Genomic DNA, 24674 nt, shown 5'->3' with positions numbered 1-24674 from the left:
CCACCTCTCACAATGTCAATGGGCACAAAGCAAGGTGCTAAGTCCTGTATAAAACCAGCATCAACCATGCATTAACCATGCAAAATGTTACTCACATTCTAGTCTAGTCAAAAATATTGCTAGCTGTCTAATGACTTGCTTCAGACTGCTGAGTAAACAAGACAGCCAGCTGTTTTACAACAAAATGTATGTAAAGAAACACACTAAAAAAATTGGTAATAACTATATCAACTGAAAATCAGAGACCATATCTCAAAGTCTGAGTCAAACTTCCACGAACTGCATGATCAATGGGTATTGACCAAGAAGTACAATCGACCAAGAGTATACTGCTTTACTCGGAAATCCTATCAAAGGAATGAATAAATGGCCAAGTGAGCAAACGAGCAATGTAAAACAGGAGCATGAACCACAAAGAAGATGTGGAAAATACTTTGTCCATCCCCACTGCCTGAGCTTAATTATAAAATACAAGAGCTATATCTACCAGAAAAAAAGACTGCCAGACATCCCACTGCATGGAGACCCCAAAGTCTTACAGGACTAGATTTCCTCCCTTCCTTCTACCCCTCCCTGACAAGATCTTCTCCCACTTCCATTCAGAAGTCACAGCTCTTGCAAGGGGAGAGAGGGAGGAGTCAGGAGGGCAGTGGTTTGAATGGTGTGTAACTGCCCAAGGAGGACTCTGTAAAACAGAGTACAAGACAGGAAAAACTCTGAGCAGAAGAAAGAAAGAAGGTTGAATTTCAAGTTCAAAGAACTGTAAACTGCTCCTAATTCTTCAACTCACTCACAGACCTTTTAAAATCTGAGTCTCGGAAGACCCAATTTCCACCCAGCAGAGTCACATATGATGAATGCCTGTTAGCCTTTGGGAATTGAGTGAACCAGGAAATGTGTACATCCCTCTGACTTTCAGGACCAGACTCAGAAACAAGAAGCTGCCAGCAATAAAAAGTTAAGTGAGGGAGACTAAAGTAATCTGACACAGTCTCTCCTTCAATTAGAGATCACCAGAATGAGATCAACATGAGGATGGAAAAATACGTACCCAAAGCAATGGCCATAGGGAAAATAATATGGACAGGAGGCAGGAAAATACGAGACAGAAGAGGACAGTTCCCTGGCAAAGGCCCCAGCCTCAAGCCTGAAAACCTACAGCCCTAAATGGGAACAGGCATTCCTGTTTCCATACCCAAATGTTGCCTTTTGGCCTGCCACACCCTCCATCCTGTACCCTTATAAACCCCAAACCCCAGCCAAAAGACAAGCCAAGCCCACCCTTGTCACAAGTCCTGCAAGGAGGTTCAGGGAACTCTCCAACATTAGCTCTAGTACTAACATATACTTTTGTGGATTTGTAGATCCTTGTCCTTTCTGGTTTCTATGTAATTTTTGAAATCTTTTATTGATTTAGCCATATATTTTTAAAAATATTTAATCCAACTTTTTTAGATGGACTGTACAGGGAGTGATTTCTCTGAATGTCTGATTTGCTATATTACCAGAAAAATGTGCTCTGGTATTGCTTTGGGCTTTCTCTTTGGCTACAGAGGGGTTGCTCAAAGGTCATGCACCTGGCTTTTTGTACCACAAATGCTCTTTTAAGAGAGCAAATATGGGGATTCTGCTGGTTCCTGAGTACAACAAATCTGACTATACATTAACCAAGATCTCAGTGAAGGTTATAATAAAGTGTTGGGGAGGGACAGCATTAAAGGTAAAGGTAAGCCATGGCCAGAACCTGGAATGTCTTTCTTATATGCCATGCCAAGGAGTTTGGACTTAACAGTGATGCCGGAGGAAATCACTGGATGGAGAGTGATCAGTCTGATATTTTAGGTGGACCATTCTGGGTTCAGGATGCAGAATGGCTGGATTAGTAAATCAAGGTGCGTTTGGCACAAGTAACATTGCCACTTTAACCAGCTTAAACTTTGTTTTACTTATTAACTGTGGTAATAAACATACTACATAAAATTTATCATTTAAACAATTTTTAAGTGTACGGTTTAGTGGCATTAGGTACATTCACACTGTCCTGCAGCCATCACTACCATCCTGTTACAACTGAGGATCAAGCAAATAATGAGACATGTAAGCCTACAGCAAAATCACAATTTAAAACAAAGCAGACATTACAAGAGTAAAATATTATCATTACATTAGTTTTGGAAGAAATTAACCATCCACTTAGAATTCTATACCACAGAAAGATAATAAAACTATGCTTTGAGAACTCGAATGAAATAAACACTCAGAAAAACAAACATGAACTGATGAAGCTGTAAAAATATTAAGTAAAGAAAATGATAAATATATGGGTAATTTCAAGCAAATATTAACTGCATAAAGCAATAATAATGTCTAGGCAGAGTTACAAGAACGTAAATTGTGGGATTACAAGAAATCAAAACAGAACTAAATCTCTAGACAACAGCATAAAAATTGGGAAAAGGTAAATGGAATTACAGGTTCTGTCTTGACCCAAAGTAACTTTCGACTTCAAGATTAATATGCATGCTTCTTAATCTGTCCATGCTGCTATAACAAAATACCATGAATTAGGTAACTTATAAACAGAAATTTACTTCTCACAGTCCTAGAGGCTGGAAAGTGTAAGATCAAAGCTCCAGTATATTCAGTGTCTGATGAATGCCCACTTTCTGGTTCACAGACAGCCATCTTTTCACTATAATTTCATATGGTTGAAGGAGCAAGGGATCTCTCTGACTCTTTTATAAGGGCATGAATCCAATTCATGTGCCCTCTCAAAGGCCTTACCTCCTAATACTATATGCCATCACCTTAGGGGTTAGGATTTCAGCATATGAATTGGGTGGGGGGAGAGAGACAAACATTCGGACCATGGCAGCAGGTTAAAATTTGTAGGGTGGGCCCCCCCACCAACAAGAATACAGAATGTATAACATTCAAATTAACACAGACTGATAACATTAAAGAAGAAAAAAGTAACAAAAAAATCAATGCAAAAGAAGGCAAGAAAGGAAAAAATAACAACAAAACAGAACACATAGGAAGCAAAAAACTGACGTGGAAATTAATCCTGCTGTGGTTTGAATATGTTCCCCAAAGTTCATGTGTTAGAAACTTAATTGCCAATGCAACAGTGTTGAGAGCTGGGACCTATAAAAGGTAACCAGGTTATGAGAGCTCTGACCTCATAAATGGATTAATGCCATTATTGCTAGAGTGGGTTAAGTTATTGGGGGAGTAGTTTCCTGAAAAAAAGCATTAGTTAGTCCCCTTCCCTTACATTTCTCTCATGGTCTCTTGCCTTTCTGTCTTCCTCATAACAAGCCCCTGCCAGATGTGGGTCCCTGGACCTTGGACATCCAAGCCTCTAGAACTATAAGACATCATTTCCTTTCCTTTTTTATTCTTTTCTTTTCTTTTTTTTTTTTTTTTTTTTTGAGATGGAGTCTCGCTCTTGTCGCACGGGCTGGAGTGCAGTGGCACAATCTTGGCTTACTGCAATCTCCACTTCCTGGGTTCAAGCGATTCTCCTGCCTCAGCCTCCTGAGTAGCTGGGATTACAGGCATCCGCCACCATGCCTGGCTAATTTTTGTACTTTTAGTAGAGACAGGGTTTTGCCATGTTGGCCAGGCTGGTCTCAACTCCTGACCTCAGGTGATCCACCCACCTCGGCCTCCCAAAGTGCTGGGATTACAAGTGTGAGCGACCGCGCCCGGCCTTTTTTTTTCTTTCTTTCTTTTTTGAGACAGGGTCTCACTCTGTCGCCCAGGCTGGAACACAGTGACACGATCTTAGCTCACTGCAACCTCCACCTCCTGAACTCAAGCCATCCTCCCACCTCAGCCTCCCAAGTAGCTAGGACCACAGGCACACACACCACCATGGCCAGCTAATTTTTGTATTTTTTGTAGAGATGGGCTTTCACCATGTTGCCCAGGCTTGTCTCGAACTCCTGAATTCAAGGGATCTACCTGCCTCGGCCTCCCAAAGTGCTGGGATTACAGGAGTGAGCCAATTCCCCTGCCAATTTTATTTTCTTTATAAATTACCCAGTCTGTGGTATTCTGTAATAGCAACACTACATAGACTAAGACAAATCATAATACATCAGTAGCCACAATCAATATAAATGGACAAAAGAGAGAAAAAATGAATCGCCAGCTATATGCACTATTTACAAGACAGACACACCTGGAACATAAGAATACAAAAAAAGTTAAAGCTGTCAGGCCAACACAAACACAAATAACAGAAGGGCCACACAGTATAAAGTCTATGGTTTACTGGAGAAAACTTAAGCGGAGAAAACTTAAGCAGAGAAACAGCAAATCACTCATGATCTGTCAAACGCTAGTGCTCTCTTAGAAAGGAATCCATCCCCCATACATCTAGGCAATTAAGTCCTAATGGAAATCTCCTGATTTAGAACGAAATGACTTCTTTAAGAAGAAGGAGGCCACTGGAGCCCACTGGCTGGTATCAGCCTGTTTTTACCTTCAGCTGAGACCTCCCAGGCCAGCTGTCAGCTAAGCTACAAAAGAAATGAGAAAATGAGCATTCAAGCCCATGGGTCTTGTCTCCCCTAGGTGAGATATAGGATGGAAAACGATAAGACAAATAAATTCTAACCAAAACACAGCTGGCACGTCTATAATAGTAGCAAACAACAACAACAAAAACTTTAAAGCCAAGCCAGGCACAGTGACTCACACCTGTAATCCTAGCACTCTGAGAGGCCAAGGAGGGAGGCTTGCTTGAGCCTAGCAGTTATGGACCAGCCTGGGCAACAAAGAAAGAACCCGTCTCTACAAAAGAAAGATTTTATTTTAAATTAGCTGGGTGTGATGGCACGTGCCTGCAGTCCCAGCTACTCAGAAAGCTGAGCCTTGAGCTCAGGAGTTCAAGGCTGCATTGCACCACAATCACGCCACTGCAGTCCAGCCTCAGCAACAGAGGAAGACCCTGTCTCTTAAAGAAATGTATATATATAGCAAAAGTCATCAGGGCTTCAAGGAGAAATTTGACAATGCTACCATCTATAGGCTATGTCACATATTTATCGATAATTGAGATATTAAGCAGACAAAAAGAAAACAGAATTATGTGAACAGTGCAATTTACACACTGGATCCAACAACTGGAAAATACATTTTTTTGCCAAGCACACATGAAAAATTGTCCATGTTCCTAATAAGCCTTAAAGCAAGCCTCACATAATTTCAAAGAATTAGTCTCATATAATTGCAAAGAATTAGACAAACCATACCCTCAGATTATAATGCAGTTTCACTGGGAATTATCAAAATAACTTTAATAAAACCTATACATTTTGAAACAAAAATAATGCATGGGTCAAAAAAGAAATATGCTGAAAACTAGAAAATACCTAGAACTTAATGTACACCTGCTTATAAAAACTTGTGGGAAATGTCTAAAGCTCTAGTCAAAGATAACTATAGTGATCTAAAAGGTTTTATAGGTGAACACTACCAAACACTCAATAGATAATTTCAGTTTTATGTACAATCTTGGAGAATAAATAAAAGAAACACTCCACACTAATTTCACAAAACTAGTGTAACTGATACGGACAAGCGGCAGAAGGGTGGGGTCCCTGGCGAGGGCTCCACCCTTAAGCCTGGACCCATAGCCCTAAATGTGAACAGGCTGTTTTTGCACCCAAATGTTGCCTTTTGGCCCAATATGTCACCCCTATTCTGTGCCCATATAAACCCCAAACCCCAGGCTCCATGAGCAGAAGAGTGGCAGAGCAGCAGAATGGTGCAGCAGAGGAGAGAAGAGAGGAAGCATCTGAGTGTCGAGGGGAGTTTGGCTGGGGACGGTCAGAGAGGAGATTGGCCATGGGACAGCCGAACTCCAAGGGAAGATCATCTTCCCACTCCATCCCCTCTCCAGCTCCCCATCTGTATTAGTTCATTTTCATACTGCTGATAAAGACACCCCTGAGACTGGGTAATTTATAAAGAAAAAGGGGTTTAATGGACTCACAGTTCCACGTGGCTGGGGAGACCTCACAATCATGGCGGAAAGCAAAAGGTACGTCTTACATGGTGTCAGACGAGAGAATTAAAAAAAAAAAAAAAAAAAAAAAAATCCAGCGAAAGGGGTTTCCCCTTATAAAGCCATCAGATCTCGTGAGACTTATTCACTACCACGAGAACAGTATGGGGGAAACTGTCCCCATGATTCAGTTATCTCTCATCGGGTCCCTCCCACAACACATGGGAATTATGGGAGCTACAATTCAAGATGAGATTTGAGTGGGGCACAGCCAAACCGTATCACCATCCCACTGAGAGCCACCTCCATCACTCAATAAAATGCCCACATTCACCATCTTTCAAGCCCATGTAACCTGATTCCTCCTCGATGCTAGACAAGAATTCAGGATGCACTGGGTGTGGGAACCCAAAAAGGCTGTCACACTGACTCTACTGAGCTATTTAACACTTAAGCCATTCCCAGACGGCAGGGCTAAAAGAGCACTGTAACGCCCCTAGACACTGCCATGGGGCTGGAGGCCCAAATCACTCACCCCAACTCCTGCACCTGCTCACCTGCATGCTCCCTCTCCCGTAAGGGGTTTGAGTACACGGCAGCCGAGCAAACGAGCCACACCCTGGTTCCAAGTCCCACAAAGGGGTCCAGGGAATTCTCCTGTCTTATAACCATAATGCCAAATTTTGACAAGGACTATACAAAAAAGGAAAATTACAGACCAATCTCACTCATGAACATAGATTAAAAAAAAAAAAATCCTAAACAAAAACAACAGCAAATCAAATCCAGGAATATATATAAAAGACAATATATCATAACCAAGCTTCCAAGAATGTGAGCTTGGTTCAAACACTGAAAAATACATACTCATTTCAATCATCTCAATTAAGGCAAAAAATGCATTTGATCAAATTCCGTAACAATTCAATTAAAATGCTTATCAAACTAGGAATAGAAGGAAAATTCCTTAATCTAATAAACAGAAATTCAAGTTGGGAAGGACTTCGGGGAATACTCCTTAAAGGAAGCTGAATGCGGGTCCACTTCTCTGCCACATAGAACGTGGATTTACTTGATAGCTGAAGCTCCATCACTTACCTGGCCTATGAGATAACCATAAATATGGAACTAGATATTGAATGTAGAACTACAGAAAGACAGAAAGAACCTGGGGCCCTGAGTCTTAGTGCACTACCACATAAGTACTAAGTTGCACAGCTGTGGACTTCTTTCACATGTGAGAATAAGCGTTTGTGCATTAAAGATACTTTTGTTTATGCAGCTAAACCCCATCTTGACTTAAACACTATTTCTATTCAAAATGGTACTGAAGGCTCTATCCTAGGCAAAAGGTAAGAAAGATAAATAAAATATGTAAGAATTCTTAAGAAACAAAACTATAATTATTCAAATATGAATAGAAAATTCCAAAAAAAACTGATAGAAAATTCTTAAAATGGCATTTCTATATACCAAAACAATCAGTTAAAATCTTTAATTTAAAAAATGATACCATTCATAATAGCAACAAAAACAAGGTATCTAGGAATAAATCTAAGCTAAAAGTCAAAACTTTTATGTAGAAAAGTATGAGACCTTTTGGAAAGATTTTAAGAGGACCAAAATGGCTCAAGGATAGTAAGAGTTGACATTCAGGTGTTACTTTTCCTGAAATACATCCAAGGATACAGTGCAATTTTGATCAAAATTCCAACACAGTTTTTCCTGGAAATTCATAAGCTACATTCTATACAGAAGAGCAAAGAGACAAAAATAACCAAGACATTCCCGAGAACACAGCCCCAGACATCAAAAGTTATGATAAGCTACACTATTAAAGAAAATAGGTAGTGGTTCAGGGATAGAAAAATAGATCCATAGAATAGAATTGACTCCACACATATCTGTAAACTTAAGGTGACAAGTGAAGGTGGCAAAAAGGTGATACAGTCAAATCACATTAGGACAACTGAAATTAAAACAAAACAGAGATTGGAGACTTATCTGACAACATACATGAAGAGTGAATTCTAGATGACGGACTATTAAATATGAAAGGCAAAACTCTAAACATTTTAGGAAAAATAGAATACCTTTAAGAGTACGATGTATCAAAGAATTCATAAATGAGATTTTAATGGACTTTTCTCCTACATTAAACTTAAGGGGGAAAATGTTTAACTATATTAAAAGAGGTCTTCCTAATAAAAAAAAAAAAAGGATGGAATGAAGGAAGGAAACGGAAAGATAGGCCAAAAACAGACAACACTTGTACCATTACAATATCTCACTAATAAAAAGCTCTTAAAAGTCAGTAAGAAAAAGAAAAATCAAGGAAAAAAAGATAAACATAAATAACCAATAAAAATCTGAAAAAATGTTCAAACTTTTCAGTAATCAGGGAGTGCAAATTAGGGTCACGACAAAAAAACACTTCATATCCATCAAATTGGGGGAAAAAACTCCAAGAGTTGCCAAGAATATACAATAACTGTAAACTGTCTTATACTCCAGGTAAGAGAGTAAACTGGTACCACCATTTGGGGAAATCATTTTTTTACTAGTGGCAGAGATCCAAGTTACCCCAAGTTACCGGTGGCCTATCCTCACGGGTCAGTAGCAACTTCAGTCCTTGCCTCCTCAGACGAAAAAATTTGACTGAGGGGCATAAAGCAGAAACAGAGACCCAGGCAAGTTCCAGAGCAGGAATGGAAGTTTACTTTAAAAGGCCTTAAAACAGGAAGAAAGGAAGGTGTGCTTGTTAGAGACCCAAGCGGGAATGTGAAGGTTAAAGAGAGTAGGTCAAGTGTCCGATTTAACCGTTGATCCTTTTTTTTTCGTTTGTTTGTTTTTTTTTTTTTTGAGAGGGAGTCTCGCTCTGTGGCCCAGGTTGGAGTGAAGTGGCGCGATCTCGGCTCACTGCAAGCTCCGCCTCTCGGGTTCACGCCATTCTCCTGCCTCAGCCTCCCGAGTAGCTGGGACTACAGGCCCCCGCCATCGCGCCTGGATACTTTTTTGTATATTTAGTAGAGACAGGGTTTCACCATGTTGACCAGGGTGGTCTTGAACTTCTGATCTGAGGTGATCCACCCGCTTCAGCCTCCCAAAGTGCTGGGATTACAGGCGTGAGCCACCGCGCCCGGCCCTGATCCTAGGACTTTTACAAGCTTGTCTATTTCCCATGATTCTTTCCTTAGGATAGGCTGCCGGCAGGCACAGAGCCCTCCTTAGCCTTGGGAAGTGTTTTTAGGGAGTTACATGCACGCCCATCTGAGGCTTCCTTCCTTTTTCCGGTGGAGTGTACCTGGAAGATCATACTTTACCATTTTTGTCTCTTAATATGCATGCCCAGGAAGCTGTTTCTCCCTCGGGTCTACATTCAATTAACATTTTGATAACAGGTGTGGACCATCAGGAAATGGCCTCTCCCTGGCGCTGCAGAATTATCATTTTTAGAGAAGCAAATTCGGTAATTGCCAAACCATCCCCCAACATTTCTAGTGGGTTGGGGGAGAGCCCACTACTGTCCCACTCATGCCTACCTGTAACAGAAAAAAAAATATGATCTACGTACATTCGTCAACATAGATGAATCTCAAAAACAAACAAAAGAAGTCAGAAGATACATACGTTTCTGTTTATATAAAGGTCAAAGACTGGCAATATTAAACAACATACCATTTAGCAACGCCTGCATGTGTGATAAAACCACCTAGAAAAGCTTAGGAAGCTTAACACAAATTTCAAGATAGTGTTTACTTATGGCTGTAGCAAGGAGGGCTTCATTGGGGAAGTGCAAACTGGTAAAATTTACTGGTAACTGGTAAAGTTCCATTTCTTCAGCTGAATGACAGGCCCCATGGATTCATTTCATTTCTCTCAAAACTATGCAAATCGGCTAGCTATACTTTTTTCTGTACATCATGTATTTTATAATATTTTAAGTGACTCAAAAATACACGAAAAAGCTGTTTTAAATTATCTTCCTGCTCATCTCCCTGTTTTAAAAGAAAGCCTTTGCTTAAAAGTGGTCTTTCTAACTGCAGGTAAACAACGACATTAACATCTGGTACTCACAGGAGTGCTCTTTAAAAAAAAAAAAAATCACTATTACAGGGTACGCACCAAGGCTCACACCTGTAATTCCAGTACTTTGGGAGGGAGACGGGGGAGGGAGGGATCGCCTGAGCCCAGGAGTTTGAGATAAGCCTGGTCAACATGGCGAGGCCCCATCTGAACAAAAAAAAACAAACAACAAAAAAAAAATCTTTATTAGCTGGGTGTGGTGGTATGTGCTTATAGTCCCAGCTACTTGGCAGGCTGAGGTGAGAGGATCGCTTAAGCCTACGAGTTAAAGGCTGCAGTGAGCTATGTGCATGCTACTGCACTCCAGTCTGGGTGACAGAGAGAGATCTTGCCTCAAAAAAAAATGCTATTAAAGACATTGATGTGTGTACTCTCCCCTATATAATGCACATCAACTTGCTTTGCAAAACAATGCTAAAGTACAAAAGACTTAAAGCTGTAATATAAAATAGACTTTACTGACTTGCACCAATACAACCACAACTTTTTTATACACCACTGACACACATTCTACATCTGTTTAATGAAATCCTTTAAAGTACCGTTAGTGAGTAAAACTAAGACAAACCTATTAAGTGCTAAGGAAACACTAAGGGAGACTATCATTTAATTATCGTACATGAGATTCCAATCTTAAATTGCCACGTGAAGTCTCAAATCGGATCTTTTTTGCTTAAGGGAATTTGAACGATGACAATTCTGTAGCTTTGGGCCAATTCACAGACTCAGTTTCCACAACGTTATAATACCCAATTAAAACTTCTGTCCAATTTCCACCGTACCGTTTGAAGGTATTTTTATGTGCACTCATTCTAGAATACTCCTGGCAAGGCCGCCGGCTTCGGGTCACAAGATGAGCCAGGGACAGATTGGAGACTACCCCCAAATCTCCCAGGAATCGGTTATCTTCCAGACCTCCAGATCGCCCTCCAGAGTCTCGCAGTGTGGAGGGCAACGACAGAAAGACTGCTGAGGGGGTTTAAACTGTTGAGTCAAACATATGGCCAAAAGTCAGAGTCAACTGGGACCTTGCAAATCATTCCGCCTAACCCTTCGTTTTGCAGATGGGGAAAACACGCCTCAGAAGGGAGAACCCTAGCTCGGGGAACCCTAGCTCGGGGTCTAACAACGATTTAAGCTTGTCTCCCCTAGTACTGGCCAGTGGTTCTTCCCCGTTACCCATCCTTAAGTGCTTCTATTGGCTGCCAACACGGAGGGGTTAGCGGGGTGAAAGAACCGGCGCCTCCGCAGTGTGGCCAGGTTGGGCTAAAAAACGTCTTAGAAGTAATCGGATCAATCTCTCTTCTTACAGGTGGAGAAAGTGGAGAAAGTAGAGTGACGCAGCTAAGGGAGTAAATCGACCCTCAGCCAACAAGTGGCAAAAGCCTGAAGAAAGTGATCAAGATCACTGATGACCCCGCTGCCCATCTCCAAGGGGGCGGGTATCACAACCCCGACGCCACACCACGTATCATTCCGCAAAACTCCCGCGCCTCCCACGCAGAACTGGCAAGAGGGAAGGCGAGACAGCAGTGAACAGCTGGTACGCAGCACCCACAGCACCGCGGCAGCAGCTAGTGCCGACTCCCGCCTAGCTCTTTTGACTCTGTTCGCGGGAAGAATGGGGAAACAGTAAGGTTGCGGCGCCTCCCGCGAGACGAGGTACCTGAGGCTGGCCCCGCAGTCCCCCGCCGCACCAGCACCGGAGCTTCACACCCCACTTCCGGGGTCAAGTCACCGCCGGGAATCCTGTGATCGCAGAAAGGTAGTCTCAGGTTCCGCCCCTATCCAAGTCCCGCCTCCACTGCCTCTCGCCCTGTATCTGTCAACTTCCGGGACGCCGCGCGTCACTAAGCAGCCAATCTCCACTTCCGGACTCATCCAGCCCCTTCTCCACCCCTTTCAGAGACAGCGCGATTGCGATTTAGGTTTCCGCGCATTTAATTGGCGAAGCTGGAGCGCTAGTCTTCGCTGATTGGTGCCGAGAAATCTGCCCCATAGACACCCGCGGGGCGCACAGTTTCAGTCGTCCGTGGGTTTCCCGCCAGCCGCAGTCTTGGACCATAATCATGGTGGACATGATGGACTTGCCCAGGTCGCGCATCAACGCCGGCATGCTAGCTCAATTCATCGACAAGCCTGTCTGCTTCGTAGGGAGGCTGGAAAAGGTGTGCGGGTTCGCAATCATGGGCTCCCAAGTCCGTAGCTGGAGGGAGGGACCCCGCCTGGATAACGGGGGATGAAAAAGGACGGAAAGCCTCCGATCACTGCGCCCCCGACTCCTTTATTTTGCACAAGGAACTTTTTGGAAATTCTTTAGCCGTTGTAGCCCCATTTTGGCGCTCTTTTATGGCACGGAAACAAAGTGTTTTCAAATGCTGAGTTCTAAATTCCAGTGCCCGTCGCCTCCGTTCTAGCCGTGCTTACGTAAGGGAAATTATAAACACCACTCCCACATCTACCTTCAGATTTCTTAGTTTACTCAGACGTGACGGACGCAGACAAAACTAATCTGCTGGTTTCCTTCTCTTCTGAAATTACTTATTTTTGCAAACCTCGTTTCCTCGTTGTGATCGCTTCTCTGTAAAACATGCCTTGGTTGTCCGCTTTGGGTCCCGTAGTAACGAGTTATTTAACCCCAGTATTAAAGTGAAGTTCCCTCATTCTACAGGCGAGAAACAGGCCCAAAGTCTTGGAATCAGTGACCTGAAAAGCTGAGGAAAAGAAAACTATTATATAAAGACTTATTTAGTAGCTCATTTCATCCACACATCCTCTTCCTTAAATGAGTGTTGCTCTGACTTCCCAAGTAGGGAAACTGAGTAGGAGTGGTAGGTGGTTGACTAAAATGCTCAGAAACTCGGCAAATGGCAAAGCTGGCATTCAAACGCAATCTGACAGCGCTCTTTACAGCTGCTTCCCAGGAGTAGGACCCAGATATTCTAGCAACCAGTTCTCCTTTTACTTCATCATGCCTGTTTTTTAAAACATACCCTCCGTGGGATATGTACTGTCTAAATCATGAGTGCCAGCAGATTTCACTTTTAGGGTGGGCATCCTTTAATTTGTTATCAGAATAGGGTTGCCATATTTAGCAAATACAGAACCTACTTAACACTACAAAAAAAATCCTTGTTTATCTGAAATTCAGAAATTAACTGTGTGTTCCATGAACAGATTTGATAACATAAGATTATAATTTGATCCAATAAGTTGAATAAACTGAATGAATAAACTGTTCAAGAAACAGTTGATTTGTGCTCAACTAAGGATCAATGTACTCATCTTTAGTCAAACTTTGTTGTTGTTTTAGTGAGATTTTAATTATATGTTTCGTTTTTAGATTCATCCCACCGGAAAAATGTTTATTCTTTCAGATGGAGAAGGAAAAAATGGAACCATCGAGTTGATGGAACCCGTATGTTTAAGTGTTAATAAGTCTCTTATATATTATAGTTAATTCTTCATCTTGATTTGGTTTGTTGCCGATGTTTCTAATTTTTGCAATGGATTTAAAAAGGATGAGCTGGTAAAACGTCCCTGGCTGTAAAATTTAATTCTTGTACTATTCTCTCATTATATTTCCTTTTACATTTTTAACCAATGATTTTTTGGGCGTCATGATTTTTGAACATATCCCATAAATGTTGGATAACAATTCTCATTCCTTATGAAAGACCATAAAATCACATAAGAAAAATTTACGTTGCTTTTTTCTTCCTCAAGAGGTTTTTTGTTTCGTTTTTGTTTTTTTGTTTTGAGACAGGGTCTCACTCTGTTACCCCGGGTGGAATGCAGTGGCACCATCATGGCGCACTGCAGCCTTAGCCTCCCAAGATCAAGTTGCTCCCATGTCAGCCTCCCCAGTAGCTGGGACTACAGGCATGCTTAACCATGCCTGGCTAATTTTTGTTTTGTTTTGTTTTGTTTTGTTTTGTTTTGTTTTTTGTAAAGATGGCATCTCCCTATGTTCCTCAGGCTGGTCTTGAACTCTCGGTCTCAAGCAATCCTCCTGCCTCGACCAGCCCCTCAAGAGTTTTCGATTTTATTTTATTTTCTATTTTTGTTCATATATTTCCAGTTTTTACTTATTTATGTTTGCATTTTATGTTTAACATACTTAAAACTTTTTTTGGTATTTTGTGAAGACAAATCCATATGCTGTTTGGTTAATGTATACAGAACACATTGTGAAATACAGATTATAGAAGATTCCTCTCATAGGATATTACTGCTTATAGAAATGCTGGACGTTTTCAATAGTGATTTTGTCTTTAACTTGAATTGTAGCTTTGGACTTGAAGCTACTGCTAAAGGTAGCAGGAATTTTAACATGCTGACAGTTAAGTACTCAAACATTTGTTAACAAGTTACATTTTAACTTTTACACTGGTAATTCTTAAAATTACTTTGTTACTTGAAGTGATAGATTAGTAACCTGTATAACAGTTTTCCAAAATAATTGTCAACTGAAAATGTGATATCACCAAATCGATGTCTTGTTCTGTGTCTTAGCTTGATGAAGAAATCTCTGGAATTGTGGAAGTGGTTGGAAGAGTAACCGCCAAGGCCACCATCTTGTGTACATCTTATGTCCAGTTTAAAGAAGATAGCCATCCTTTTGGTAAATAAAGCATTCTAGTATTGACTGGTTTTATGTAATTACATAACATACAGTTTTATATAACTGTATGTAATTACATAACATACAGTTTTATATAACTGTATGTAATTACATAACATACAGTTTTATATAACTGTATGTAATTACATAACATACAGTTTTATATAACTGTATGTAATTACATAACATACAGTTTTATATAACTATGTTTTAACATACATTTTGTATTACATACAAAATTGTATGTATTACATACAATTACATAACATAAACATACAGGAAAACAGTTTTATTTTTAGTTTGATATATATTGGTCTAGAGTTTTAGTACTGCCACATTTTCAATTTCTATAGAATTTTGTGATCGTAAAGGCAAATGGGGGTACATTTTGTTTTGGCCTGCTTTTAAGTAGTGCTTATATATGTAAGAAACTCAGTAAAGATTAATTAATGTTTGTTGAAAGATAATTTTTTTAAATATAACAAAAATAGTATTAGTTTTTTTGTTGTAATATCTGAATTGAAGGAATTGAATAATGCATAACACCCAAAACACTACCAGGCAGAAACTGCCTGTATAATGAACATCAAAATGGATGGTACTCCCATGTCTTTTTTTTGGTGCCACAGTTAAATACAAGAATCCATAATCCATATCTCCATTTTTAGAAACTCACTTCCAAAAGGGTGAGAAAAAGGAAATAGGTAAAAATATCTTAGATAATAATTGATGTTACAACTTTCCATTGTAGATTAAATGTTTGCTTAAATGTTTCTTTCAGATCTTGGACTTTACAATGAAGCTGTGAAAATTATCCATGACTTCCCTCAGTTTTATCCTTTAGGGATTGTGCAACATGATTGATCTTGATGGATTTTCATACGATTGTAAATGAGCTATATTAAAGTCTATTAAAGGAAGCCCTTCTTGTTTGAGGGAGAGATTTCTGTGCTTTCTCATATTTAATTTGCTGTTTTTAAGATATTCCAACCTAGAGTTTTTGATGGAACTGATATATTGACAGTTCTCACCGAAGTCCTTTTATAAAGAATTGCTACTCCAATATATGGTCAGATTAGATGCAAGAATAAAGCAGTTGTCCGAGTCTAAGTTTCTATTTTATTAATAAAAACTAAAATGGTACGTACTATCGGTCATTTCATTTTCATTCTTTTAATCATGTATTCAAGCACAAACTTGAAATTTCATAGCCATAAGGTCAAGATTTAGACCTACCAAATAAAACCTTGGGCCAGCTGTGTTAAGGATTTGCTCACCTTTTCCCAAACTATACCTTGATAATTATTTCCTTGATACCCTACTTACAAAATGAAGTAGATGACATTAAAAAGGCAAACAGAGACTGGCCACGCTGGCTTACTCCTGTAATCCCAGCACCTTGTGAGGCCGAGGCGGGTGGATCACCTAAGGTCAGGAGTTCGAGACCAGCCTCACCAATATGATGAAACCCTGTCTCTACTAAAAATACAAAAATTAGCCGGGCGTGGTGACATGCGCCTGTAATATCAGCTACTCAGGAGGCTGAGACAGGAGAATCACTTGAACCTGGGAGGCGGAGGTTGCGGTGAGCCAAGATTGCACCATTGCACTCCAGCCTAGGCAACAAGAGTGAAGCTCTGTCTCAAAAAAAGGCAAACAGAATCTTACATCTTCTGTAATCTGTGAAGTATCTCTTTTTCTGGCTTGGTTTGGTTTTGTTTTTGTAGAGACAGGATCTCACTCTATTGCCCAGGCTGGAATACGGTTGTGCAATCATAGCTCACTGCAGCCTTGAACCTCTGGGCTCAGTCTCCCAAGTAGCTCAGACTACAGGTGGGCACTACCACGCCCAGCTAGATTTTCCTAAATTTCCGTGTAGAGATGGGGTCTCACTGTGTTTCCCAGGCTGGACTCAAACACCTAGCCTCAAGCAATCCTACCGCCTTAGCCTCCCAAAGTGTTGGGATTACAGGTGTGTAACAACCATGCCCAGCCTTCCTGGGTTTTAAAATAGCATTTACTAAATTCCAAACAAGGAATATATGATCATTGAAAGAGTTGGTGGAATCATTTGACTTTCTTTTTATTCTTTTCACCTGTCTAATCTTTAGTATGGAATCTCTCTCTAGCACCATGTTGGGGGTGAGCAGGGAAGATGTGGCAGATTTGGAATAAGGTAGTATAGAATAACCGATGACCTACGTGGCCAGTTAAGTTTTATGGCTTGACCCATTCCCTTGAATAAGGAAATAATTCTAAATCCATATAGGTTATTGTAAATTATACCAAAAATACTTAGTTTTAATTAGTGTAATCTTAAATTTCAACTTCTGTCATCCAAAAATACTCTGCTCATTACTTGAGGGGCATTGCCATAGCCATTTACGGTAAAGCATTCTGTTACATGAAATGAAGACAACTGTACAGTTTATACGCTGTATAATGACTTTGGTCAATGACAGACTGCATATATGATGGTGGTCCCATAAGATCATAATGGAACTGAAAAATTCCTGTCTAAAGACAAAGGCATCGTAACATCTTAGCACAATGCATTACTCACATGTTTGTGGTGATGATGGTGTAAACAAGCCGCACAGTAGGCTGCATGTAGAAGTATGACACATAGAATTATGTATGGTACATGATACTTGATAATAAAATACCATGTTACTGGCTATGTGTTTACTATTTATCATTATTTTAAACTGTACCCCTACTTACAGGAAAAAAGGTAACTGTAAACAGCCTCAGGAGAGTCCTTCAGGAGGTCTTCCCAAAGAAGACCTTGTTATAGGAGATGACAGTTCCCTGCATGTTATGGCCCTTGAAGAACTTCCACTGGGACAAGATATGGAGGTAGAAGACAGTGATATTGATGATCCTGTATAGGCCTAGGCTAGTGTGTGTGCTTGTGTTTTAGTTTTTAACAAAAAAGTTAAAATGTAAAAAGAAAATTTAATTTTGGAAATAGAAAAAAGTTCATAAGAATACAAAGAAAAATATTTTTGTTCAGCTGTACAGCGTGTTTTAAGCTAAGTGTTATTCAAAAAGAGTGAAATGTTTTTAAAAAATTTACTGTACCTTTTTTATTTATTTACTTATTTTTTTGAGATGGAGGCTCGCTCTGTCACCTGGGCTGGAGTGCAGTGGCATGATCTCAGCTAACTGCAACCTCTGCCTCCCGGGTTCAAGGAATTCTCCTGCCTCAGCCTCCCGAGTAGCTGGGACTACAGGCGTGTGTCACTATGCCCCGCTAATTTTTGTATTTTTAGTAGAGACAGGGTTTCACCATGTTGGTTGGGCAGGATGGTCTCAATCTCTTGACCTCGTGATCTGCCTGTCTTGGCCTCCCAAAGTGCTGGGATTACAGGAATGAGCCACCGCACCTGCCCTACTGTACCTTTTTTGTGTTCTATGTGTGGTGGTGCATGCCTATAGCCCCAGCTACTTGGGAGGCTGAAGTGGCAGGATAGCTCAAGCCCAGGAGCTCGAAGCTGCAGTGAGCAACAATCATGCTGCTGTACTTCAGCCTGCGCAACACAGCAAGACCCCATCCAAAAAAGAAAAGTTAAAACAAATTTAAAAGTGCATAAATTAAAAAAGCTACAATAAGCAAGAGTTAATTTATTATTGAAGAAAGAAAAATATATTTTTATAAATTTAGTGTGGCCTAAGTATGTAAAGTCTACAGTAGGGTTCAATAATGTCCTAGGCCCTCACATTACTCACCACTCACTCACTGACACCTGGAAGCAACTTTCAGTCTGCAAGCACAAGTTATGGTAAGTGCCCTATACAGGTGTATCTTTTTTTTTTTTCTTTTAAAGACAGGGTCTTGCTCTGTTGCTCAGACAGGAGTGCGTCTCCCACCTCAGCCTCCTGAGAAGCTAGGACTACAGGTACACACCACTACATCCAGTGAATTTTTGTATTTTTTGGTAGAGATGGGGTCTCACTATGTTACCCGGTCTGGTCTTGAACTCATTTTTTAATCTTCTATACTGTAATTTTTTTTTTTTTTTTTTTTGAGATGGAGCCTTGCTCTGTCACCCAGACTGGAGTACAGTGGCATGATCTTGGCTCATTGCAACCTCTGCCTCCCAGGTTTAAGAGATTCTCTTGCCTTAGCCTCCTGAGTAGCAGGGATTACAGTCGACCACCATTGAGCCTGGCTAATTTTTGAATTTTTAGTAGAGATGGGGTTTCGTCATGTTGGCCAGGCTGGTATCAAATCCCTGACCTCAAGTAATGTGCCCACCTCGGCCTCCCAAAATGCTAGGATTACAGGCATGAGCCACTGTGCCTGGGCTATACCATATTTTTACTGTATCTTTTCTACGTTTAGATATACAAATACTGACCATTCTTTTAAAACTGCACAAAGTCTTCGGTACAACAACATGCTGTACAGGTTTGAGCCCAGGAGCAATAGCATATATCATCTAAGTTTGTGTAAGTATGTTCTGTGAGGTTCACACGATAATGAATTTGTCTAATGGTTCATTTCTCAGAATGTATTCTCATTCAGAGACTAGTTGAAAATGAGGAGAGACATCAGTCAGTCTCAATAACAGTGTTGTCTTGAATGCCAGAGGAGTCTACATTAATCCATTTTCACACTACTATAAAGATGATCCCCGAGAATGGGTAATTTGTAAACAAAGGAGGCTTAATTGACTCACAATTCCACATGGCTGGGGAGGCCTCAGGAAACTTACAGTCATGGTGGAAGGGGAAGCAGGCACCTTCACAAGGCAGCAGGAGAGAGAGAGAGAGCAAGAGCAGGGAAAACTGCCTTATAAAACCATCAGATCAGCTGAGCACAGTGGCTCACTCCTATAATCCTAGCACTTTGGGAGGCCGAGGTGGATGGATCATTTGTGGTCAGACGTTCAAGACCAGCCTTCCCAACATGGCAAAACCTCATCTCTACAAAAAAATACAAAAAGCTGGGCATGGTGGTGCGTGCAGCTACTCAGGAGGCTGAGGAAGGAAAATCGCTTTAACCCAGGAGGCAGAGGTTACAGTAAGCTGAGATCCCGCTTACTGACAGAGCAAGAATCCATCTCAAAACAAACAAAGAAAAAAACCCAGCAGATCTCATTGTGAACTCACTCACTATCATGAGAACAGCATGGGAGGACCGCTCTATGATATAGTTAGTTACCTCCACCTGGTCTCTCTCCCTTGACAAATGGGGATAATGGGTATTACAATTCAAGATGAGATTTGGTTGGGGATACAGAGCAAGCCGTATCATTCTGCCCCTGGCCTCTCTCAAATTTCATGTCTTTTCACATTTCAAAACCAATCATGCCTTCCCTCCCAACAGCCCCCCATGCCTTAACTCATTTCAGCATTAACTCAAAAGTCCACAGTCCAAAGTCTTATCTGAGGTAAGGCAAGTGCAATCCCTTCCACCTATGAGCCTGTACAATCAAAAGGAAGTTAGTTACTTTCTAAATACAATGGTGGTACAGGTATCAGATAAATGCTCCCATTCCAAATGGGACAAATTGACCAAAACCCCATAGCCCCATGCAAGTCCAAAATCCAGCAGGGCAGTCGTTAACTATTAAAGCTCCAAAATAATCTCCTTTGACTTCATGTCTCACATCGTGGGCATGCTGATGTAAGGGGGTGGGCTCCCATGGCCTTGGGCAGCTCCTTCACAGGCTGACACTGAGTGTCCTTGGCTTTTCCAGGCACAAGGTGCAAGCTATCAGTGGAGCTACCATTCTGGGGTCTGGAGGATGGTAGCCCTCATCTCACAGCTCCACTAGGCGTGCCCCAGTGGATACTCTTTGTGGGGGCTCCAATCCCACATTTTCCTAATGCAATACCCTAGCAGAGGTTCTCCATGAGGGCTCTGCCCCTGCAGCAGACTTCTGCATGGACATCCAGGTATTTCCATACATCCTGTGAAATCTAGGTGGCGGTTCCCAAACCTCAACTCTTGAATTCTGTGCACCTGCAGGCCCAACACCATGTGGAAGCTGCCAAGGCTTTGGGCTTGCACCCTTGGAAGCAACAGCCCAAGCTATACCTTGGCCCCTTTTAGCTGTGTCTGGGGCTGGAAAGTCTGGGATGCAGGGCACCAAGTTCTGAGGCTGCACATAGCAGCGGGCACCTGGCCCTGCACAGGAAACCATTTTTTTCCTCTTAGGTCTCCAGGCCTGTGATAGGAGGGGTTGCCACCAAGATTTCTGACATGCCCTGGAGATATTTTCCACATTGTCTTGGCAATTAACATTTGGCTCCTCATTACTTATGCAAATTTCTGCAGCTTGCTAGAATTTCATCCCAGAAAATGGGTTTTCTTTTCCATCTCTTAGTCACACTGCAAATTTTCCAAACCTTATGCTCTGCTTCCCTTTTAAACATAAGTTCCAATTTCAGATTATCTCTCTCAAGTTCAAAGTTCCACAGATTTCTAAAGCAGGGGCAAAATGCTGCCAGTCTCTTTGCTAAAGCATGGTAAGACTGACCTTTGCTCCAGTTCCCAATAAGTTTCTCATCTCCATCTGAGACCACCTCCGCCTGGACTTCATTGTCCATATCACTATCAGCATTTTGGTCAAAACCATTCAACAAGTCTCTAGGAAGTTCTAAACATTTCCACATCTTCCTTTCTTCTTCTGAGCCCTCCAACTATTTCAAACTCTGCCCATTACCCAGTTCCAAAGTCACTTCCATATTTTCTATATCTTTATAGCAGTACCCCACTTCTGGTACCAGTTAACTGTATGAGTCCATTTTCACACTGCTATAAAGATATTATACTACCCAAGAATGGGTAATTTATAAACAAGGGAGGTTTAACTGACTTACAGTACCACATGGCTGGATAGGTCTCAGGAAGCTTATAATCATGGCAGAAGGAGAAGCAGACACCTTCACAAGGCAGCAGGAGAGAGAGAGCAAGCAAGAGCAGGGAAAACTGCCTTATAAAACCATCAGATCTCTTGAGAACTCACTTGTTAGCATGAGAACAGCATGGGGGAAACCACCCCCATGATTCAATCACCTCTGTCCTCAACACATGGAGATTACAGTTTGAGATGAGATTTGAGTGGGGAGACAGAGCCAAACCATATCAGAGTCAGTCCTCAGTTCTGTGTTAACCCCTGAAAATTCAGTGCTATTAAATGTTGAAGTTGCCCTGCTTGAAACCTTCCCTTCAGCTACTATATTTAGTAAATTGGACTAAATGAATTACCTTGTTTTCTACTGAGTGAATCCTTTATGCTAATGATTTGTGGTGCCATATCTCTAGCCCCAACCTAAGTTTTCAGCTGCTCCACCTGGGTGTCCCACCAGCACTTTGATTTGAATGAGTGTAGTTTGAACAAGTATGGTTCCCCTGCCATGTGTTACAGATTTTTTTGGTAATAATTTCATTGAGATGTAATTTACATATCATACAATTTACGAAATTCAAGTGTACAATTCTATGGCTTTTAGTGTATTCAGGGTTGTATAACCATCACCATAATCAATTTGAAAACATTTTCATCACCCCAAAAGGAAACCTCATACCATTTGCCCTGTCATAGCCTGATCCCTCCACCATCCACCCACTCCCCCAGTGCTAAGCAACTATTAATCTACTTTCTGTCTCTAGATTTGTCTCCATTCTGGACATGTCATACAAATGGAATCATAATATGTGGTCTTTTGTGATTGGCTTCTTTCACTTAGCATAGCATTTTCAAAGTTCATCTGTGTTGTAACATAGCATGTTAGTGTTTCCACCCTTTTTATGGCTGAATAAGATATACCACATTTTGTTCATTCATCAATTGATGGACATTTGGGTAGTTTCTGCCATTTGGTTATAATGAGTAATGCCATTATGAAGATGCGCGTATACATTTTTATGTGTACCTGTGTTTCTATTTCTCAAGTATGTACCTAAAAGTGGAATTGCTGCATCAAATAGTAAAATGTTCAATTTTTTGAGTAACTGCCTGACTGTTTTCCAAAGTGGCCACACCATTTTACATTCCCATCAGCAGTGTATATGGATTCTAATTTTTCTGCATCCTCACCATCACTTCTTATTATCTGACTTTTTATTATAACTTTCCTAATGGGTATAAAGTGGTATCTCACTGTGGTTTTGACTTACCCTGTTTCTCTTAAAGCTACCGTAAGCCACCCAGTTGCCCAGAAACACTTGAATATCTCCAATCCATTTTACTATCTACTATAGCCACTAGAAGTCCAAGTGCTTGTCCTCTGTCACTTGAATTATTACGACAACCTTAGCTATGTAACTGACCTTCTTTTTTCCACCCTCTTCCCATCATCCAGCCAAAAAAATCGCATTAAACACTGCTTGTAATATAATGTAAAGCTTAAAAGCCTGAGAAGCATGGAAAGGAAAAGCTTTCTGGGAAGCTTACAGTGGAAAAACCTAGCAAACATCCTAAATGAAGTGATCAAGGTTAACATCAGCAGTGATGTGTCCTCTAAAATAATGTGATAAAAATACCTGTGTGATATTTTTTCTAAAACCCGTACCTCCAGTCTAATAATGAGAAAATGTCAGACAAACCCAAATTGAGGGATATTCGACAAACTTTCTGATCAGTACCCCTCAAAACTGTCAAGTTCATGAAAAACAAGGAAAGACTGAGAAGAGAAACTCAGAGTGAGGAGATTACAGAGACCAAGACAACTAAATGTTATGTGGGATCCTCTACTGGCTCCTGGAAAAGAAAAAGCACACTAATGGAAAAACCGGTGAAATCTGAATGAAGACTGGCATTCAGGTAATAATAATTTACCAATGTTGGTTTCTTAGTTTTGACAAATATACCGTGATAACGTAAGATAACATTAAGGGAGACAAACTGGTTGAGGGCTTATATGATAACTCTCTGTACTATCTTTGTAACTTTTCTGCAAATCTAAAATTACTCCAAAATAAAAAAAAAGTATTTTATTTAAAAATCAACAACCTCCAGAGGCTCTCCACTGACTAGAGCAGGTCCATATTACCAAAAGTTGAAACCCTTCACTGACTTATTTTTATTATAACTGCACTAATGGCTCTGAAGTAGCATCTCACTGTGGTTTTGATTAGCCCTGTTTCTTTTAAAGCTACCATAAGCCACCCAGTTGCCCAGAAACACTTGACTATCTCCAGTCCTTTTCACTATCTTCCATATCTAACATCAGTGTCAAATCTGGTTTCCCCTTGAAGCTACTCTCCAGCACCCAATCTGCTGTTCCCAGACACACTGTACCCTTTAAGAAATGAGTACCACCGAATCTGCTGTTTGCTCTGATTGGAATGTCTGTTGCTGTACTCAAAGGAAAGCATTTTCTAAGATTTTCATAACTTAGCCTGAGTTAGTTACTTTGTGCTATATTTCCACCTTTTTTTTCTTTTAAGACAAGAGCCTCACTCTGTTGCCCAGGCTGGAGTGCAGTGGCATGATCTCAGCTCACTGCAGTCTTGACCTCTTGGGGTCAGGCGATCCTCTCACTTCAGTCCCCCAAGTATCTGGGACCACAGGTGTGCTCCACCATGCCTGGCTAATATTTCGTATTTTTGGTAGAGACAGGGTTTTGTTATTTTTGCCCAGGCTGGTCTTGAACTCCTGAACTCAAGCAATCTGCCCGCCTTGCCCTACCAAAGTGCTGGGATTACAGGCGCGAGCCACTGTGCCCGGCCACTTCGTGTTATATTCCTTTCTTCATTATATTTATTTATTCATATCTCTCATCACATTTAATTTGATAATCCCTTTTCAGATTAAAATACATATTCTTTTAAAACTTACAACACTAAAAAAGGAAAAATCAGAAAATAAAGTCCACATTGTCTTTCCAGAGACAGTGCTGTCAGTGGTGAACTACAATATGGTTGTCTTTAGTTGTAATTTTACAGATGTTCTTCAAATGGTCACTTTTATTTTCATCTAGAAGTGA

The 24674-nt window shown here is 40.9% G+C and overlaps 2 protein-coding genes across 4 annotated transcripts in view, besides 6 other annotated features; one reads left to right on the top strand and one right to left on the bottom strand.

The window, feature by feature from the left end:
* The window catches only part of UMAD1 (UBAP1-MVB12-associated (UMA) domain containing 1), a 238472-nt gene extending 226631 nt beyond the window's left edge, over positions 1 to 11841 (bottom strand). For all 3 annotated transcript variants that reach the window (NM_001302350.2, NM_001302348.2, NM_001302349.2), the window contains exon 1: positions 11772 to 11841. The gene's annotated coding sequence lies outside the window, so the exon portion shown is untranslated. The remainder of the gene's footprint in view (positions 1 to 11771) is intronic.
* The window catches only part of RPA3 (replication protein A3), an 82090-nt gene extending 66015 nt beyond the window's left edge, over positions 1 to 16075 (top strand). The window contains exons 5-8 of the mRNA NM_002947.5: positions 11418 to 12273; positions 13449 to 13523; positions 14621 to 14729; positions 15511 to 16075. Coding sequence (NP_002938.1) covers positions 12175 to 12273; positions 13449 to 13523; positions 14621 to 14729; positions 15511 to 15593 — 366 coding nt within the window. The 5' untranslated portion in view covers positions 11418 to 12174 and the 3' untranslated portion in view covers positions 15594 to 16075. The remainder of the gene's footprint in view (positions 1 to 11417; positions 12274 to 13448; positions 13524 to 14620; positions 14730 to 15510) is intronic.
* Positions 11381 to 11550: an enhancer, noted in NCBI's record as "active region_25647". NCBI's record gives its function as "activates an Ori minimal core promoter by ATAC-STARR-seq in GM12878 lymphoblastoid cells {active_cell/tissue: GM12878}" and the evidence as "EXISTENCE:reporter gene assay evidence [ECO:0000049][PMID:35858748]".
* Positions 11631 to 11680: an enhancer, noted in NCBI's record as "active region_25646". NCBI's record gives its function as "activates an Ori minimal core promoter by ATAC-STARR-seq in GM12878 lymphoblastoid cells {active_cell/tissue: GM12878}" and the evidence as "EXISTENCE:reporter gene assay evidence [ECO:0000049][PMID:35858748]".
* Positions 11721 to 11920: an enhancer, noted in NCBI's record as "active region_25645". NCBI's record gives its function as "activates an Ori minimal core promoter by ATAC-STARR-seq in GM12878 lymphoblastoid cells {active_cell/tissue: GM12878}" and the evidence as "EXISTENCE:reporter gene assay evidence [ECO:0000049][PMID:35858748]".
* Positions 12021 to 12150: a silencer, noted in NCBI's record as "silent region_17964". NCBI's record gives its function as "represses an Ori minimal core promoter by ATAC-STARR-seq in GM12878 lymphoblastoid cells {active_cell/tissue: GM12878}" and the evidence as "EXISTENCE:reporter gene assay evidence [ECO:0000049][PMID:35858748]".
* Positions 12191 to 12240: an enhancer, noted in NCBI's record as "active region_25644". NCBI's record gives its function as "activates an Ori minimal core promoter by ATAC-STARR-seq in GM12878 lymphoblastoid cells {active_cell/tissue: GM12878}" and the evidence as "EXISTENCE:reporter gene assay evidence [ECO:0000049][PMID:35858748]".
* Positions 12611 to 12660: an enhancer, noted in NCBI's record as "active region_25643". NCBI's record gives its function as "activates an Ori minimal core promoter by ATAC-STARR-seq in GM12878 lymphoblastoid cells {active_cell/tissue: GM12878}" and the evidence as "EXISTENCE:reporter gene assay evidence [ECO:0000049][PMID:35858748]".
* Positions 16076 to 24674: the final 8599 nt, after the last annotated feature.

The sequence above is a fragment of the Homo sapiens genome, chromosome 7 (assembly GCF_000001405.40).
Source record: "Homo sapiens chromosome 7, GRCh38.p14 Primary Assembly".
Lineage (NCBI taxonomy): Eukaryota > Metazoa > Chordata > Mammalia > Primates > Hominidae > Homo > Homo sapiens.
Note: the sequence above shows the minus strand (reverse complement) of the source record. Positions and strands in the feature narration are given on the sequence as shown.